The sequence below is a fragment of the Homo sapiens genome, chromosome 5 (genome assembly GCF_000001405.40).
Source record: "Homo sapiens chromosome 5, GRCh38.p14 Primary Assembly".
Lineage (NCBI taxonomy): Eukaryota > Metazoa > Chordata > Mammalia > Primates > Hominidae > Homo > Homo sapiens.
Genome location: NC_000005.10, coordinates 69564623 through 69584202, shown reverse-complemented (window position 1 = coordinate 69584202; position 19580 = coordinate 69564623). Strand labels below are relative to the sequence as shown.

The window sequence follows — 19580 nt, the reverse complement described above, 5'->3', positions numbered from 1 at the left end:
ATCTCGAACTCCTGGGCTCAAGTGATCTGCCCACCTGAGCCTCCCAAAGTGCTAGCATTACAGGCATGAGCTACCGCACCCAACCCTTTGTCTATTAATTCTACCAACTGGGTTATTTCTGGGTATGTTTCCATTCTGTGATTTTTCTCCATTTTATGGGTCATATTTTCCTTTGCATCCCTGGTAATTTCTGCCAGGGACTATGAATTTTGCTTTGCCAGACATTGTGAATTTTGCTTTGTTTTGGGGGCTGGATTTTTTCTTTTTCTTTTTTTTTGTATTCCCTCAAATATTTAAGGGTTTGTTCTGAAATATACTTCATTAACTTGGAAATAGTTTAATCTCTTCAAAATTTGCTTTTAAACTTTGGTAGGCTGGTCTAGAACAGCTGTTAGTCTAGATTTTTCTTTTCTTTTCTTTTCTTTTTGCCTCTGGTTCCAGTTCTTGTGATAGAATTAATTTGATCCCATTACTGTGGACTCTATTCAATGCCTGTCATGTTAAGAGGTATTTCCATACAGACTGGTGAGAACATGAATGTTCTCTGTGTGAGCTCTGGAAACTGTTCTGTCTGCTGCTTTCCAGTGATTTTTTCCCTGACTTCCAGTAGTCTCCTCACACAAAAGGGCTGATCAACGCTCAGCTGCTGACTCATGAGCAAGTCTATGCAGCTCCCCAGAGAGTTCTCTCTGTGCAGATCTTTCCTCTCCAGTACTCTGACCTGCAAAATTATCGCCATCTCAGCCTCCTTGAAAGATGAACTTTGTTTCTTCAACTCAACAACATCTCCAGCCTCTGTGTGCAGCCTGGAAATTCCATCCAGGCAGTAAGGTGGAGTGCTCTTAGGGCCCATCTCATTTGTTTCCTTTCTTTCAGGGATCATTATCAGCAAGGCTTGCTGTCCAACGTCTGAAAACCACTGTTTTATATATTTTGTCTGCTTTTTTTGACAGGAGGGTAAATCTAGTCCCTGTTACAGCTTTTTGGCTGGAGGCAGAAATCTTGTTTGTGATTTTTAAGAATTACTCTCTTAAATTTAATTTTGTTTTATAATTATGTAAAATACAAAGCTCTGAAGTTAAAACAAGGTACAGTAATATTCTATATAACATTTTGGTCAGTGATGAACCACATATATGACAGTGGTCCCATAAAATAATACATTTTAGTTGTACCTTTTCTGTGTTTAGTTAAACAAACACTAGGTGTTACATTACAACTGCCTACATTATTCAGTACACAATATGCTGTACAGGTGTGCGGCCTAGGAGCAATAGGCTATACTATATAACTGCGATGTTAGTAGGCTACACTATCTAGGTTTGTGTAAGTGCACTCTGTGATGTTTGCACAATGATGGTATCACCTAATGACGCATTTCTCAGAATGTGTCCCTATCATTAAGTGATGCATTCAGAAAAGTCTAGGGTCTAACCCTTTGCTTTTCCCTACACACTCACTGAGGTAAACATTAAAAAAAAAAATTTCCCCCTCCACCCCTTTTAAGTTTTTATTATTTCCATACTATTGTTTTTATTATTAACATAAACAAGTATATACATCCACTTACATCTCTACTTTCTTCTTAGGTGATTAGCAGCATACTACAAAATTCTCTCAAACTACTGTTTTACTTAGTAATTTATCCTGAAGATCACTCCATACAAGTATATAGAGATAGTCTTCATTGCCTATCTTTTGAATTTATAACTTAAAAGAAGGAATTAAAAATGTAAAAACATTATTACTGATATTTTCAAGGTCTTTACTTACGCCATGCTGAAAGAGGGTTTTGCATCCTGGTCAGATAAAGAAGCAATGGTGTGCTGAGGAAATCCTTCATAGAAGAAAATGTATTACTTTCTTTTTCCAAGCAAACAGCAGAATTCTAGGACTAAGAACCTAAAAATGTTCTTCTCAAAAAGCCAATGAAGTTGTACAAAATATCACTTTACTGCCTTTCAGATAAGCTTATTATAGCATGATGAAACTGACTAATTCCAAGCTACAAGAAAAAGTAGAGGAAACGGGGGAAAGACCTGTCTATATATGACCTCAGATTCTGAAGTTCATATATATATTTTTCTTTTTTTTTTTTCTTGAGATGGAGTCTTGTTCTGTCACCCAGGCTGGGGTGCAGTGGCATGATCTTGGCTCACTGCATCCTCCACTGCCTGGGTTCAAGCGATTCTCCCACCTCACCTTCCCATGTAGCTGGGATTACAGGCATCTGCCACCATGCCCAGCTATATATTTTCTAACTTAATGATTAACACTACTTTTTAAAGAGGTTGTAATTTTTACATCATTTCTGATAAAACTGAAGATATCATAGTACACCTTCATTTTATCTACGTTTATGCTTTTATGTTTAAAATTTTGAAATGCTCAAATCTTTCATGTAATTTGTTTTCCATATACAATTTTAAATTCTGAAAACATGTTCAGGAAAAGCAGAAACCATTTTTAAAAAGATATATTACATAAAAAATGTAAATGTATCTACATATCAAAACAAATAAATAAAAGTAAAGGCAAATAACCAACAAGAAAAATATTTGCATCGGGTGACTGAGAAGGGTTAACATTCCTAAAGGACTCTAATAAATAAATTATAAATTTAAATAACTTTAAAATGAAATAAGAAAATATATCAGTAAATCAAAAAGATTAGCCAAACATAAGATCTAAAATATATTGAATGTTTACATCAAGCATTATTCTAAACGCATCATCTGTATTAACTCAATCCTTGAAACACACAATAAGGTTGATAGTTACTGACATCATTAAACACATGAGAAGACCGTGGAAAAGAGAGGTCGACTGGTAATATAAAAGGCCAAAAGTAGAAAAGCATTTTATTTCATTAACATTTAAAAACATACATATTAAATAAGGAGATTATTTTTCTATTAAAAGTTATACTTTTTTCAATCTAAATGTAATAAATTTTCATTGTAACATTTTTGTAAAATAGAAGAAAATAACATTTTAAAAAAGTGATCCAAGGCCGGGCACAGTGGCTCAAGCCTGTAATCCCAGCACTCTGGGAGGCCGAGGCGGGCGGATCATGAGGTCAGAAGTTCAAGACAAGCCTGGCCAACATGGTGAAACCCCGTCTCTACTAAAAATACAAAAATTAGCTGGGCATGGTGGTGCCCGCCTGTAATCCCAGCTACTCGGGAGGCTGAGGCAGGAGAATTGCTTGAACCTGGGAAGCGGAGGTTGCAGTGTGAGCTGAGATCGCACCACTGCACTTCCAGCCTAGGAAATAGAATGAGACTCCATCTCAAAAAAAAAAAGAAAAAAAAAAGTGATCCAAAACCAATAATTTCCCCTCCTTTGAGCAATTTGGTGTACTTCCCTGCAAGCTTTGTCTTTGCACAGTTTGTATTACACAGCTTTGATCATCCAGTACAGAGAATTTTGTAGCTTATTTTATTTTTATTTTATTTTATTTTTTTGAGACAGAGTCTTGCTCTGTCACCCAGACTGGAGTGCAGTGGCGCAATCTCAGCTCATGGCAACCTCCGTTTCCTGAGTTCAGGCAATTCTCCTGTCTCAACCTCCTGAGTAGCTGGGATTACAGATGTCTGCCACCATGCCCAGCCATTTTTTGGTAATTTTTAGTAGAGACAGGGTTTCGCCATGTTGGCTAGGGTGGTCTCAAACTCCTGACCTCAGGTGATCCGCTAGCCTCGGCCTCCCAAAGTGCTAGGATTACAGGCATGAGCCACCACGCCCGGCCTTTGTAGCTTATTTTAAAAAATTTTTAATATAAGTGTTTTTCTTTTGTTTTCTTTTTTGAGACAGAGTCTCGCTCTGTCGCCCAGGCTAGAGTGCAGTGGTGTGATCTCGGCTCATTGCCAGCTCTGCCTCCCGGGTTCATGCCATTCTCCTGCCTCAGCCTCCCGAGGAGCTGGGATTACAGGCGCCCGCCACCACGCCTGGCTAATTTTTTGTATTTTTAGTAGAGATGGGGTTTCACCGTGTTAGCCAGGATGGTCTCGATCTCCTGACCTCAAGATCCGCCCACCTCGGCCTCCCAAAGTGCTGGGATTACAGGTGTGAGCCACCGAGCCCGGCTTAATATAAGTATTTTTCTATAAACACAGTTTATACCTTTCTAGCCTTAAAAATAAAGAAAGCCAACAGTATTTTCTGGGTGACAGGACTACTGGTAGTTTTAATTTTTTTTTTCCACTTCTCTGTACTTTCCAAAATTGCTTCAACAAGCATATTTTTTCTTTAAAAATTCTTAAATATTAAAATAACTTGTGCAAATGAAAATAGAGAGCCTAGATATGTATTTTTTAAAAACATAAAAACACTTACCCATACGAATAAGTGAGCATTCAGAACTTGAGCTAGCAGGAGGAGGACTAAGATGATGTGTGAGCAACTCTTTGTAATGGCTTTCATCTAAAATAACATGGTACGTGCCTAACAAGATGAAAAGGGAAAAAAAAACACCTTCATAGACATAACGAACTGTACGTTCTATGTAATTCTGTAAAAGTTGTATCATCTGAAAATGTACATTTTTAAAATAATGATTTTAGCTAAATTATCACTTTTAAAACCTTATTTAAGTAATATATCTAAATCAACTTCTCTAGGAATAACTATAATTACAATTGATTATTATTACTATTATTATTATTTTAACATATAAATAGAGACAGGTCTCACTATGTTAACCAGACTGATCTCAAACTTCTGGCCTCAAGTGATTCTCCTGCCTTGGCCTACCAAAATGTTGAGATTACAGGCATGAGCTATCATGCCTGGCCTGTAATTACAATTTAATTAAAGACAAGTTATAAAATCTTTATAAAGAATTACATACAGTAAAATTTCCAGCTTTCCAAGAGTTATAATACCTCCTCTAAATACTGACATAAGTACTGAAAACTCTTTGCATTTGGAGATGATTTCTTATGGAATCAATGATATATTTAAGATGACTGCCCATATTTTAGACTACTTTAAGTTTAGTAGCTCAGAACAGATTAAAACATCCTAATTTAATTAATAAATTATTTCCTACACAGTAATTATAAGCAAATATTAAATAAATTATATATATACCACCAGTTTCACGAGCAAGTACAGTGCAAACGCGAACTTCTGCAGACAATCCAATAACAGATACTCTAATTTTAGCTGCCTTTAGGGTCTTCATAAAATCCAAGTAGATAGATAGTTTTAGGAAAGAAGAAAAACATTTAAGATTTAATGTATTTGAAAAATAAAGAATGCTCTGAAAACTAGTAATAAATTCAATACATCTAACACAAAGATGAATCACACATACAAAAATACATATATATATAAATCAATTTGCTACAGAATTCTCTTTACAGTTATAACTTTGGTTTTGATTTTTTGGTCTACCTTGATTAGATCATAAATATTAGATGGATCGCAAGTTGTAAGGCTGCTAAAGATGATTAGTACTTCTCGACTTGTATGTCCAGGCATGTGTCTTAAAAGAAAGATAAAATACACTCCAATTAGGTACAACAAATTATACTACCAAAAAATTTACCCAGAAAGAACAGTAAACATAGGATTACACATTTAGACTATAGAATATCTCATTTGTTTCAACAATGCAAAGAAAGGTTGTGAGTATATTTTAAACACTTTAATGCAAATTTTTCTAAAATGAGCTATGCACTTCAAAAAATTGTTAATTGATTCATTTAATATTTACCAAGTACTCTCAAGTTCTGGGGGTAGAGTGATAAACAAGACTGACAATGTTCCCGACATCATTAAGCTTACATTCTAGTAGGTTTGTTTCATACAAAGTCTAGAGTATACAATAAAAAATACAACAATATATGGATAAACTTTAAACTAAAATGTGGCAATATCATATGGATCAGCTTTAAAGTGCAGAGATGTGGCTTCAAAACAGTAACACACACTTCTTTCTCAAAGACTATAGTAGTCCCCTCTTATCTGCAGAGGATACATTCCAAGACCCCCAGTGGATACCTGAAATCAAGGATAGTACTGAACCCTATATATACAGTCGTTCTTCGGTATCCTTGGGGGATTGATTTCAGGCCCTCCTATGGATACCAAAATCTGCAGATGTTCAAGTCCCAGATACAAAAGGGCGTAGTATTTGCATATAACCTATGTACATCCTCCCATATATTTTAAGTCATCTCTAGATTATTGATAATACCTAATACAATGTATACTATGTAAGTAATTGTTATCCTCTATTATTTAGGGGATAATGGCAAGAAAAAATGTCTATTTGTTCAGTACAGGTACAATTTTTTTCCAAAAATTTTTGATGCGTGGTTGATCGAATTCCCAGGATTCAGAGGGCTGATTATACCATGTTTTTCCCTATACAGGCATACCTTGGAGATACTGCAGGGTTGGATTCCAGACCGCAGCAATAAAGCAAATATCACAATAAATATTTGCAATAAAGCAAGTCACATGAACTTTCAGGTTTCCTAGTGTATATAAAAGTTCTGTTTACGGCCAGGGATGGTGACTCACGCCTGTATTCCCAGCACTTTGGGAGGCTGAAGCGGGCACATCACGAGGTCAGGAGATCGAGACCATCCTGGCTAACACGGTGAAACCCCGTCTCTACTAAAAATACAAAAAAATGAGCCGGACGTGGTGGCAGGAGAATGGTGTGAACCCAGGAGGCGGAGCTTACAGTGAGCCAAGATTGCGCCACTGCACTCCAGCCTGGGCGACAGAGCGAGACTCCGTCTCAAAAAAAAAAAAAGAAAGAAAAAGAAAAGTTCTGTTTACACTATACTGTAGTCTAGTAAGTGTGCAACAGCATTATATCTAAAAAAAAAAGTACACACCTTTATGAAAAATACTTTATTGCTAAAAATCGACTGAACTGTCAGTGAATAATATCTTTTTGTTGAAGGAGAGTCTTGCCTTGATATTGATGGCTGCTGACTGATCAGAGTGGTGCTTTCTGAAGGGTGAGGTGGCTATGGCAATTTCTTAAAATAAGACAAAGTAGTTTGTTACATGGGTCAACTCTTCCTTTCATGAAAGGAATGCAAATGCTGTTTGGTAGCATTTTATTCATAGTAGTACCTCTTTCAAAATGGGAGTCATTCCTTTGAAACCCCACTGATGCTTTACCAACTAAGTTTATGGGCTATTCTTTTTTTGTTTTGAGACTGATTCTTGCTCTGACACCCAGGCTGGAGTGCAGTGGTGCGATCTCGGCTCACTGCAACCTCTGCCTCCTGGGTTCAAGCAATTCTCCTGCCTTAGCCTCCCCAGTAGCTGGGATTACAGGCATGCACCACCATGCCCAGATAATTTTTGTATTTTTAGTGAGGACGGGTTTCACCATGTTGGCCAGACTAGTCTTGAACTCCTGACCTCAAGTGATCCATCCGCCTCGGCCTCCCAATGTGCTGGGATTACAGGCATGAGCCACCATGCCCAGCCAGTGTAGATATTTTGACCTCTTTCTATGAATGGCATTTAGAATGGTGAATTCTTTCCAGAAGGTTTTCAATGTACTTTGCTCAGATCCATCTATGGCAGTCACAGCCTTATGATATGTATTTCTTAAATAATCAAGACGTGAAAGTTCAAAGTATTCCTTTATCCAAGGGTTGCAGAATGAGTGCTATGTTAGTAGATATGAAAATAACATTAATCTTCTTGTACATCTCAATTAGAGCTCTTGGGTGACTGGGTGCATTGTCAATGAGCAATAATATTTTGAAATAAATCTTTTTTCTGAGATATATCTCAACAATGGGCTTAAAATATTCAGTAAGCCCATGCTGTAAACAGATGTGCTGTTATCTGGGCTTTGTTATTCCATTTGCAGAGCACAGACTGAATAGATTTAGAATAATTCTTAAGGACTCTAGGATTTTCAGAATGGTAACAAACATTGGTGCCAACATCAAGTCACCAGCTGTATTAGCCCCTAACAAGAGAAGAAGCCTATCCCATGAAGCTCTGAAACCAGGCATTCACTTCTTCTAGCTATGAAAATCCTAGATGGCATCTCCTTCCAACAGAAGGCTGTTTCATTTACATTGAAAATATGAGGCCAGGTGCAGTGGCTCATGCTTGTAATCCCAGCACTTTGGGAGGCAGAGGCGGAGGACTGCTTGAGCCCAGGAGTTCAAGACCAGCTGGGCAATGTGGCGAAACCCTACCTCTACAACAACAACAACAACAAAAATTAGCTGGGTGTGGTGGCACATGCCTGTAGTCCCTGCTACTTGTGGGGCTGGGAGAATAGCTTGAGCCTGGGAGTTTGAGGCTGCAGTGATCCATGATTGCACCACTGCACTCTAACCTGGGTGACAGAGCGAGACCCTCTCTCAAAAACAAAAAAGAAAAAGAAAATTTGATATTTAGTGTAGTCACCTTCATCAATTATTTTAGCTAGATCTTCTGGATAACTTGCTGCAGCTTCTACATCAGCACTTGCTGCTTCCTCTTGCACTTTTTTTTTTTTTATTTTGAGACGGAGTCTCACAGTGTCGTCTGGGCTAAAGTGCAATGGCGCGATCTCGGCTCACTGCAACCTCTGCCTCCTGGGTTCATGCGATTCTCCTGCCTCAGCCTCCCGAGTAGCTGGGATTATAGGCGCACACCACCACACCTGGCTAATTTTTTGTATTTTTAGTAGAGACAGCGTTTCACTATGTTGGCCAGACTGGTCTTGAACTCCTGACCTCATGATCTGCCCACCTTGGCCTCCCAAAGTGCTGGGATGACAGGCGTGAGCCACCGCGCCCAGCCCCTCTTACACTTTTATGTTTTGGAGATGGCTTCTTTCATTAACCTCATGAGCTCAGCTCTGTTAGCTTCAAACTTTTCTTCTGCAGCTTCCTCACTGCTCTCAGCCTTCATAGAATTGAAGAGAATTAGAGCCTTGCTTTGGATTAGGATTTGACTTAATGGACTGTTGTGGCTACTTTAATCTTCTATCTAGACCATTAAAACTTTGTCTGTATCAGCAATAAAGCTGTTTCACTTTCTTATCATTCATGTGTCCACTGAAGCAGCACTTTGAATTTCCATTATTTTTTTCTTATTTTGAGACAGGATCTTGCTCTATCATACAAGCTGGAGTACAGTAGCACAATCGTAGCTCACTGCAGCCTCAAACTACTGGGCTCAATCCTCCTGCCTCAGCCTCCTGAGAAGTTAGGGACTACATACAGGTGCTCGCCACTGTGCCTGGCTAATTTTTTTTTTTTTTTTTTTTTTGTAGAGATGGAGGTCTTGCTATGTTACCAGGACTGGTCTCAAACTCATGGCCTCAGGTGATCCTCCCATCTTAGCCTCCCAAAGTGTTGCAGTTACAGGTAAGAGCCACCACGCACAGCCCAGCACTTTCAATTTCCTTCAAGAACTTTACCTTTGCATTCACAATGTGACTAAGTGTTTAGCACAAGAGACCTAGCCTTCAGCCAGTCTTGCATTTTGACATGCCTTCCTCACTAAGCTCAATCATTTCTAGCTTTTGATTTAAAGTGAGACATGCGACTCCTCCTTACTCTTGAACACTCAGAGGCCACTGGAGGGTTATTATTGGTGTAACTTGAATATTTTTGTGTCTTAGGAGATGGGGGGGCCGAACAGAGGGAGAGAGACTGGAAAACAGCCAGTTGGTGGAGCAGTCAGAACACACGTAACACTTATCAATTAAGTCTGTTGTCTTATATGGGCGCAGTTTGTGGTGCCCTAAAATAATTACAATAGTAACATCAAAGATCACTGATCACAGATCACCATAACAGATATAACAATAATTTACAAAGCTTGAAATATTGCAAGAACTACCAAAGTGTGATATAGAGGCAAGAAGTGAGCACATGCTGTTAAAAAAAAATGGCACCAACAGACTTGCTCAACAGAGTTGCCATAAACTGTCAGTTTGTAAAAAAAAAAGTTATCTGAAAAGTGCAATAAAAGTGCAACAAAATGAGGTGTGCCTTACATACACACCTATGATCAATAATGTATAAATTAGGCACAATAAGAGATTAACAACAATAACTAATAATGGAACATTTATAACAACGTGCCGGCATCACTACTCCTGCACTTTGAGGTCATTATTAAGTAAAATAACACAAACACTGCAATAGTTTTGACAGTCAATAACAACAGTTAATCTGATGACTTAGGCCATTACATGGGTGGGCAGCATATACTGTGAGGATCTACAGGACCAAGGGATGATTCACGTCCTGGGCAGGACAGAGAGGGAAGGTGTAGGATCTCATCACGCTACCCAGAATGGCACACAACTTAAATCTTATGAATTATTTATTACTGAAGTTTTCAATTTAATATTTTCAGACCAAGAGTAACTAAAACTGGAAAGTGAAACTGCAGATAAGGGGGGATTACTATAATTTAACCTCACAGTAATTCAGAGTCATAATAATCATGAACATTAATATTGCATACCATTTAATTAAAATGATAGCTTGTAGAGTTTTAAGTTGTGGTGACCAGTTTTCACCTACACTAAATAGACGTTTTTATGCTTTCTGCAGCAATTTTATCAATTAGTTATAGCTTTCCTGCTTATATTTTCATTGTTATCGTCTCAGCTCTCACTGGTAGACCCTACTACTGTACTTACCTCTATTACATGTGTTGCCTCCTTCTCATCCACTTCAAAACTAGAAAAATATCTATTATATAAAGGTATAAGTCTGAGCCAGGGCAGACTATCCAGAGATAAAATATATAAGCTTTAGGGAGGCTGAGGTGGGCGGATCGCTTGAGGCCAGGAGTTCAAGACCAGCCTGGCTAACATGATGAAACCCCATCTGTACTAAAAATACAAAAATTGGCTGGGCATGGTGGCACACACCTGTAATCCCAGCACTAGGGAGGCTGAGGCACAAGAATCACTTGAACCCAGAGGTGGAGGTTGTAGTGAGCTGAGATCACGCCACTGCATGCCAGCCTGGGTGACAGAGCAAGACTCTGTCTCGAAAAAATATATATATATACGTGTGTGTGTGTGTGTGTGTGTGTGTGTGTGTGTGTGTATATATAATAGATATATAAGCTTTAACTTATATATGTAAGTTTAACATATATATAAGCTTTATATATATGTATAATAAATTATATATATAATATGTATATAAAGCTTATATATATATATAAGCTTTAACTATACCAAGTATTTCCTTTGGGGTCTTAGCTCTATTCCATATAGCTGAACTTGCCATATCTATTAATTTACAGATATATGACATTGGTGCAAAAGGAATTGTGGTTTTGGCCATTACTTTCAAAATAAAATAATAAATGTTAATAAAGGTACAACCAACTTACAATTATTATACTATATTAAATCTCATTTTAATAAAATATTTTTTCATCAACCTATTTTTGTACTATTGATACTGCCGACAGTTTTAAATTATATTTTTATAAAACCTTTAACAATATCTTACTAAAATGTAAAATAAAAATTACTAACCAACACCACACTAAACATCATAAATAACACTACATAATTCTCGTACTTAACAATTTTGTTATAGCTGGGTTTATGGGCCCCATATTAACACATCACTTCAACTTAACTCATTTAAAAAACTTCTAATTCAATTATACATAATGTATAATACTAACTTTAGAGTCTGCATAGCCATGCTTAGGGAATTATAAAGAGATGGCTCTCCATGGCAGGTCATATCCACAGCTTCCTTCAAAGACGTTATATGTTTTCTTGGGTTTCCTAAAATAGAAATAAGGTCTTTAAATAAAATCCTATATATTAAAAAAGTTTATGTTTCTCTCAAAATTTACATATCTATGATGTTAAAGAACAGAATCCTTTCAATGTATATTTCTGTTGGAATTTTATCTGCAATATTTTGTAAACACTCTCACTTCATACTGAAAAACAGAATACAAATAATCTCCTTATAGACTAGCATACATATTTTAAAATAATGCTAACCTAGAGTGCATTTTTTTACTCTTAATATTTCCATATTTCATCATTTTTAAGACCAATACATTTTCACATTTAACATCTCTGAAATCAGCATGTGTTTAATAATTACTGGTAGCCAGCAGCACTTGTAACATAGTCTTTGCCTGTTCATATGTGAACCTACAAATAGGTCTTCATATGTTGTTGCTTCAATTGCATTATGTACATTGTCCTCTTCATGGTGAGTTTAACTGCCATTTAAAATGTTTTTAAGGCCAGGCGCGGTGGCTCACGCCTGTAATCCCAGCACTCTGGGAGACCACGGCAGGCAGATAACCTGAGGTCAGGAGTTTAAGACACACCTGGTCAACATGGTGTAAATCCCATCTGTAGTAAAAATGCAAAAATTAGCTGGGTATGGTGGCATACACCTGTAATCCCAGCCACTAGGGAGGCTGAGGCACAAGAATCACTTAAACCCAGAAGGTGGAGGTTGCAGTGAGCTGAGATTGCACCACCGCACTCCAGCCTGGGCAACAACAGCGAAACTCCATCTCAAAAAACAAACAATAAAATGTTTTTAGAAATGTTGTTAATACAAAAGGCTATATTTTTATGTAGAAAGGTGTGGAACACAGCAGTGAGGCATAAATTTATTATAATGAATCAAATATTGATGGAAGAATGCATGCAATTCCGTATTTTTCTTGAGGGAAGAAATCAAGAACTTTACAAGACCTAAGAAACGAATATTCCCACAAACAGACGAGGCTGTGTTATCTTACCAAATAGCATCTGAAAAGATTGTCTATCTTATGCTAAGCAATTCAAATGAAGGGGGGAGAAGCTGCCAAATCCTTTTTTTTCTTTTTAATATAATATTTTTTTATATTATTTATATTTAGATTATATATATATCTGTTGCCAGGCTGGAGTGCAATGGGGCAATTTTGGCTCAATGCAACTTCCACCTCCCAGGCTCAAACCATCCTCCCACCTCAACCTCCCAAGTAGCTGGGACTACAAGTGCCCAGCACCACACTTGGCTAAATTTTTTTGTATATTTTTGGTAGAGACAGGGTTTCACCATGTTGTCCAGGCTAGTCCTGAACTCCTGGATTCAAGCAATCCTCCCGCCTCAGCCTCTCAAAGTGCTGGGAGTACAGGTGTAAGTCACCACACCTGGCCCCCAAATTTGAGATGTCTGTACATGTCAAATTACCAAGAAGCTAGTATAGCCAACTCATATATCATTTGATACTGTGTCAAAGTTTAACTACTAGGACTTTTCCTTCTTAATGGCTTATAAAAGTATCTTGTAATTGATGGAATCTGAGTTTCAATGAAATATAGTATTCCGTAAACATTTTCCATTTCAGCACTGTCTTCGTATCAATCAATAACCTAAGTATCATTAAATTGATTTTGTCATAAAATATAATCCATCAAAGCATACTATTAAACATTTAATTTTTAATCTGTCACTATTATACATAATGTTACAAAGAGTATCTTTGTAGAGTGATCATTCTCCTTCCATAACATTCCCTAAATATAATTTCAGGAACAATTTTTATGCTTTTCTAAAAAATATTGAACTAATTTGTAAGACTATCAGCACTATAAATAACAGTTTCTCTGTGGTTCCACAAGCAACATATTGCTTTGGAAACTTAATTTTGCTCATTTAAAATATATTAAAAAATAAAATGTTATGTAATTGGGTAGAGTGTTTTTGGATTACTAGTTTCCCTGATTTAATTTCTGGGTTTTTTCTGTGTGAATCATGTCTTCTTTGTCTATTCATCAACTTGGAGCTCCCTTGAGTTTTTACTCATCTGAGTAAGTTTTAAAATATTAACCATTTGTAATATTTAATATTTACTGCAAGTATTTTAGATTCATAAATTTTAGAGATGAAAAGTACCTCGCTAAGCAGTCCAAATCCCTCACTTCATAAGTGAGAAAATTAATCTAAACAAGTGAAATGACTTGCCCAAAGACATATGCCTGCTTAACTGCAGGACCAGCAGCACCCAAACCTAGATCTCCTGGCTCTCTATCCACTTCTCTTCCTACCCTACAAAATTATTTTTAATCTCCCACTGTGTTATGGGTATAGGAAAAAAGCATACTACAATAGTGTCAGTGTGGTTTACAGCAGTGGTCTGATTGGAGGGAAAAAAAGGTGGCTTCAAGAGGCCTGTCAGAATCTCCAGAATATTTTTCATCTTTATACATGACTTCACTAACATCCATAGAAAACTGCTGGGGCCGGGCATGGTGGCTGATGCCTGTAATCCCAACACTTTGGGAGGCTGAGGTGGGTAGATCACCTGAGGTCAGGAGTTCGAGATCAGCCTGGCCAGCATGGTGAAATCCTGTCTCTACTAAAAATAAAATTAGCCAGGTGTGGCAGCGCACACCTGTAATCCCAGCTACTCGGGAGGGGGAGGCAGGAGAATCTCTTGAACCCGGGAGGCGGAGGTTGCAGTGAGCCAAGACAGCACCGCCTGGGCGACAGAGTGAGAGACTCCTTCTCAAAAAAAAAAAAAAGAAGCAATAGAAAACTGCTGGTAACTCGGGGTGGGTAAAGTGAGAGGAAAATATTGACCTTATATTCCTACCTTGGAGGAACCATCCTTCTTCCACTATATAATAATCCTGCTTAGTTCATGTGGTGCTGACCCTACTTCTATCCTGCTCTGGGCATCAGCAGGCAATCGAAGCGTACAAACAAAATACTTCATTTCCTGGCCACTTTGTTCATGGATGGGCAGATCGTAACTCAGGCCAATCAGAGTTCTCCCTAGACGTGTGCTGAAGCTATAGGCTACGGGTACAATGTAGAACTGGGACAATTAAGAGACATCTTTTCAACTTCCAGAAAATCTATCAGAGAATGAAGCCAGACAAAGCCAGGACCCCAACATATGCAGCAACTATATATGGAATTGGCCCACCTTTGAACATAGCCCAAAATTTTCCTTCTGCACTTAAGCTAGTGTGACATTCTTTTGGTTACTCACAACTGAGTTTCTTGAATCACTCCAGGCCAATGTACATTTCACTCCTCACTGCATTTAATGAAAAACTACTAATGAAGAAAGTATGTCATTTCCCTTATGTGTGCCGGCAAGGATAAAAGGTTGAAAACCAGATTTAAGGGAGAGTGTATTTCACAGAAAATAAAATAGAATCAGTGATGCAAATTTGTAACAGCATATATATCAAAGCAAATAAAAAATGCCATTACTACGTTTTGAAACTAAAATTCAGTTAGGTATGTCATGGAAGCAGAAAAATTGATTCATTAGCAATAGCTACAGTTTAATTTTTATACTTTTTCCCTTTTAAATTAGATGCTTAACTTTTTAAGAATTTAATTTTAAGATTAACTGGATTTTATAAATGATTACAATAACTGTATTTTAATATCTTCAGGATAAGGCCGGATGCGGTGGCTCAAGCCTGTAATCCCAGCACTTTGAGAGGCTGAGGCGGGCTGATCACAAGGTCAAGAGATTGAGACCATACTGGCCAACATGGTGAAACCCCGTATCTACTAAAATACAAAAAATTAGCAGGGCGTGGTGGCGGGCATCTGTAGTTCCAGCTACTCAGGAGGCTGAGGCAGGGAATCGCTTGAACCCGTGAGGCGGACTTTGCAGTGATCCGAAATTGTGCCACTGCACTCTAGCCTGGCGACAGAGCAAGACTCCATCTCCAAAAAAAAAAAAAAAAAAAAAAAAGGAAAGAAAAAAAAATTTCAGGATAAGCACATATAGAATTTAAATAAAAACATTTATATTCAATGTAGTATTATTTACCACTATGATGCAGAACTCAATTTAGAATAGTTAACCTTGTATCCTAAGAATATAATGGTGGGGGAGATGTTATTAAATTGTTTCACCTAGAGAAGACAGAGGAACCACCCTTCACGTTACTTATTAAGCAGCCATATAAACAGGGCTACGAGGTTGGGTAAATAAAGCAAAGTCCTTGAGTCATGTAAAGGTAATTTTATGCATACCTGAAAGTTCAGTCAATTTTTCAGCTCTTTTACTCTTAGTTACAATTATTCCAATCTTGAAATAAAAACAAAAATTATTATTAATATAACAAGTTATTTCCTCCCATTAAGAATATATATAACTATTCCTGTAGATGATATTGGAGCAGAAAAAAAAATAATTTATATAGCTAAAATAAACTAGTAATTACAAAAGAAAGAAGCAACAGGTGAGAAACTTTTTCTCATGCTGTTTTTGGCAAATAAATTTAGCTATGAGTTCACATTACGTTTAACTTTTAGAGTTATTACGCTTTTCATTTTTAAGTATACCAGAAACTGGTTAAACAATTTGGGTAATTCACAAAATACATGTCCAATTTTTAAAAATAAATTACATTTGGAAGCAAAATAGGAATCTAATTCTGAATTCTATCACTTAGATACGTACCTGACTAATAGGATTTTGATCAAAATATTCCTCTACAAAGTATTCCAACAACTGTTTAAACAAAAAAAGACATACTAGATAAAGGCAAAATAACAATCATAAAGAACATGTCCAACTGATGTTTGTGAAACCTGTTAATCAAGCGTCACTTCTCATGACTTTTAAACTTACAGATTTTCAAAAACTGTTAAGTAATAAAAATATTAAACAGTAAAAACGTTAATTTGAAATGGTGGGTGATGAGATAGGTTTGAGCTAGGTTTTAAAAGATGGAACCATTTGGATGTGTCAGAAGAAATTTCAATGAGGAAAAGATCCAATGAAGAGAGATGGGAGAACGAGCAGAATTGAGAATAGGTTTTGATAAATTAGGAATACGAACATATTTGTAATCTGAGGAGACAGAGTTAAGTAAGGCAAAGGAGAATGAAGATTCAAGAAAGAAAAGGGATAACTGATAAACCAAGATCCTGATGTGGGGTGGGAGGATAGAAATTAAAAACACAAATAATTAGCTATGTTGGTTTAAAATTTCCCTAAATAACCTGGCAGTACTTCTACTTAGCTATCATTAGCATTAACTAAAAATACAAGGCAAAAAATAAAAAATATTGCATTCTTTAAAAATATCCTTTAGAATCCAGTGTTCTTCCCCACTTTTTTAGTAAAAGTTTAAGTGATTTTGGTACAAATTTAAATGATTTAGTATAAACTTAAATTTTACCTTTAAAGTACACGTCAGTCTATTAGGCTTTAAATCTTGGTCTTCCATTGTTCTTGATCCATCTACTACCACATAAAGGTGGCGCATCTATCGGAAAAAAGAAAGGGCCAATTTCAAGTACTTGTTTTGTTTTGTAGAAACTGGGTCTCGTTCTGTTGCCCAGGTTGGTCTCAAACTCCTGGGCTCAAGCAATCCTCCTGCCTTGGCCTCCCAAAGTGCTGGGATTATAGGCATGAGCCACTGTGCCCAGCCTCAAGTGCCATTTTGACTAGTAAAAATGGCATTTAATAATTACATATTCTATGCACGTATTTTTAACATATTCTTTTAAAAACTTTGTTGTTTTGCTATTGTTTTTTCTAGCAAGACAGAATGTTTCTCTAACCTAAACTAGTTCTGTACTAGTAAAAGAAAAAATAATGACATACCATTCCAAGTCGAACTTGTCCATGGTGCTCAAATACTCTGTTAAAATTATACAAACATTTTAATGTAATTCCATATACTATCCCCCCCCACAAAAAAAAATACAACTTTCCAATTGACCTCCTTTGTTTTTCTTTTTTTCTAATTCTGATTAAGAATGTCATAACGTGCATTTTTAGTGGAGTAAATAATTAACTTATGGAATACAATACACATAATTATAGGTATTGTAGACAGTCTCTAAAGACCATTTCCTGCTGGGGCAAGGGTAGGTGGCTAGTTCTTTCCCCATAGTCAGAAGGCAATAGGTCAGTTTCCCTGAAACACAGCTAAAATGAAGTACTGAGGAGTATTTATAGATAGAAAGGCTTAAAATGAATATATTTTACCTTTTTAAGATACGTAGGAAGGTTACATACCTTTTTCTCTTTGCCTTGAATAGAATGTCTTCTATTGTAGCTTTAAGTGATCCAGATTCATCTTCTTTAAGAATCTCCCTATAAGTCATAATTATTTGTTTGAAAAGACAAGCTAAAATGATTACTAGCCCAAATGAAATGAAAATATATGTCCACACAAAGATTTGCATGTAAGTGTTCATGGCTGCATTTTCCTAACAGTCAAAAACTGTAAAGAACCTAAATATCCACAGACTAGTGAATGGATAAACAATAATGTGGCATAACCATAGATGGGAATACTATTCAGCAATAAAAAAGGAATGAAGTATTAATACACACTGCAACATGGATGAGTCTTAAAAATAAGTGAAAGCCAGCCACAACAGACCAACTATTATAGTCATGCATCGCTTACTGACAGGGATACATTCTGAGAAATGCATTGTTAGGCAATTTCATTATTGTGTGAATATCACAGGGTATACTTACACAAACCTAGATGGTATAGCCTATCCCACGCCTAGGTTACAAACCTGTACAGCACGTTACTATACTGAATATCTTAAGACAACTGTAACACAATGTTCAGTATTTGTATATCTAAACATACATAGAAAAGGTAGAGTAAAAATACAGTATTATAATATTATGGGACCATTGTCATATATGCAGTCTGTCTTTGACCAAAACATCATTATGTGGCACATGATTGTATATGATCACATTTTTGTGAAATGTCCAGAAAAGGTTAAAATTTGGAGACAAAAAGTAGACTAATGATTGCCCACAGGTGGAATTAAATTAAGATTTAAATTAATTGTAAATGAATGTGAAGGATCTTACTGGAGTGGTTACAATATTCTAAAACTGGTTTATGATAATGGCTGCACAGCTCAGTAAATTATTAATAAAACATCACTGAATTGTACATTGGAAATGGGTGAATTTTAACATATGTAAAATATACTTTAATAAAGTTGTAAAGAAAAAAAAAGACATTGTCTAAAAGAAAAGACAGGGCAATAAAGCTCTCCTTACCATGTTCTTTCATAGCCTCCTTCCCATCGCTTAGTTCTTTCAGGTTCTTCATCCATTTTTTTCAAAACTGTATTTTATTATTCAATAATCTGTAAAAACCATTAGAATGTAAGTTATCTAAAGATGTTTGTTACAAAATTCATCCAATTAAATTTGAAAATTAGACACATATATAAAGTAAAAAAAATGGAATGCCAGGTCATCTTATTCTTTGTATTTTACTCAATAATTGTCTTAAAAATCTTCATAGAACTCCATTTCTCATTTCCAAGAAATAATATGAACTTATACACAAACTTGGTACCAATAAAAATAAGTGTCTTTTTACAATTTGTAAAAGAACAAAAATGCTTTATAGATGTGTCACATGACAAACTGTAGACTTGTGAGGAGTCAGTATGGGCGTAGTTGAACTATTATAGCTGAGTGACATGTGATTCATTGTACTATCTCTCTGTGTATGTCTCAATTTTCTCATAATCAAAAGTTTTTAAATCACATTTATTATTTATAAATGGGTAAATGCTATAGCTCATAATTCAAAAAAAAAGGACACAAAATTAAAC

The 19580-nt window shown here is 36.4% G+C and overlaps 1 protein-coding gene across 15 annotated transcripts in view; it reads right to left on the bottom strand.

Annotated features, from left to right (window-relative positions):
- The window catches only part of GTF2H2C (GTF2H2 family member C), a 35031-nt gene that overhangs the window by 11019 nt on the left and 4432 nt on the right, over positions 1–19580 (bottom strand). For 7 of the 15 annotated variants that reach the window (NM_001376000.2, XM_011543615.2, NM_001098728.3 and 4 more), the window contains 11 exons: positions 19015–19103; positions 17995–18072; positions 17578–17614; positions 17150–17236; positions 16426–16476; positions 15996–16050; positions 11653–11758; positions 5401–5491; positions 5095–5182; positions 4339–4446; positions 1774–1837 (listed from right to left, as the gene is read on the bottom strand). In NM_001376000.2, coding sequence (NP_001362929.1) covers positions 1774–1837; positions 4339–4446; positions 5095–5182; positions 5401–5491; positions 11653–11758; positions 15996–16050; positions 16426–16476; positions 17150–17236; positions 17578–17614; positions 17995–18072; positions 19015–19070 — 821 coding nt within the window. In that variant the 5' untranslated portion in view covers positions 19071–19103. Of the gene's footprint in view, positions 1–1773; positions 1838–4338; positions 4447–5094; positions 5183–5400; positions 5492–11652; positions 11759–15995; positions 16051–16425; positions 16500–17149; positions 17237–17577; positions 17615–17994; positions 18073–19014; positions 19104–19580 lie in introns of all 15 variants that reach the window. The other 8 variants (NR_164749.1, NR_164750.1, NM_001376003.1 and 5 more) reach the window with 8 other exon arrangements.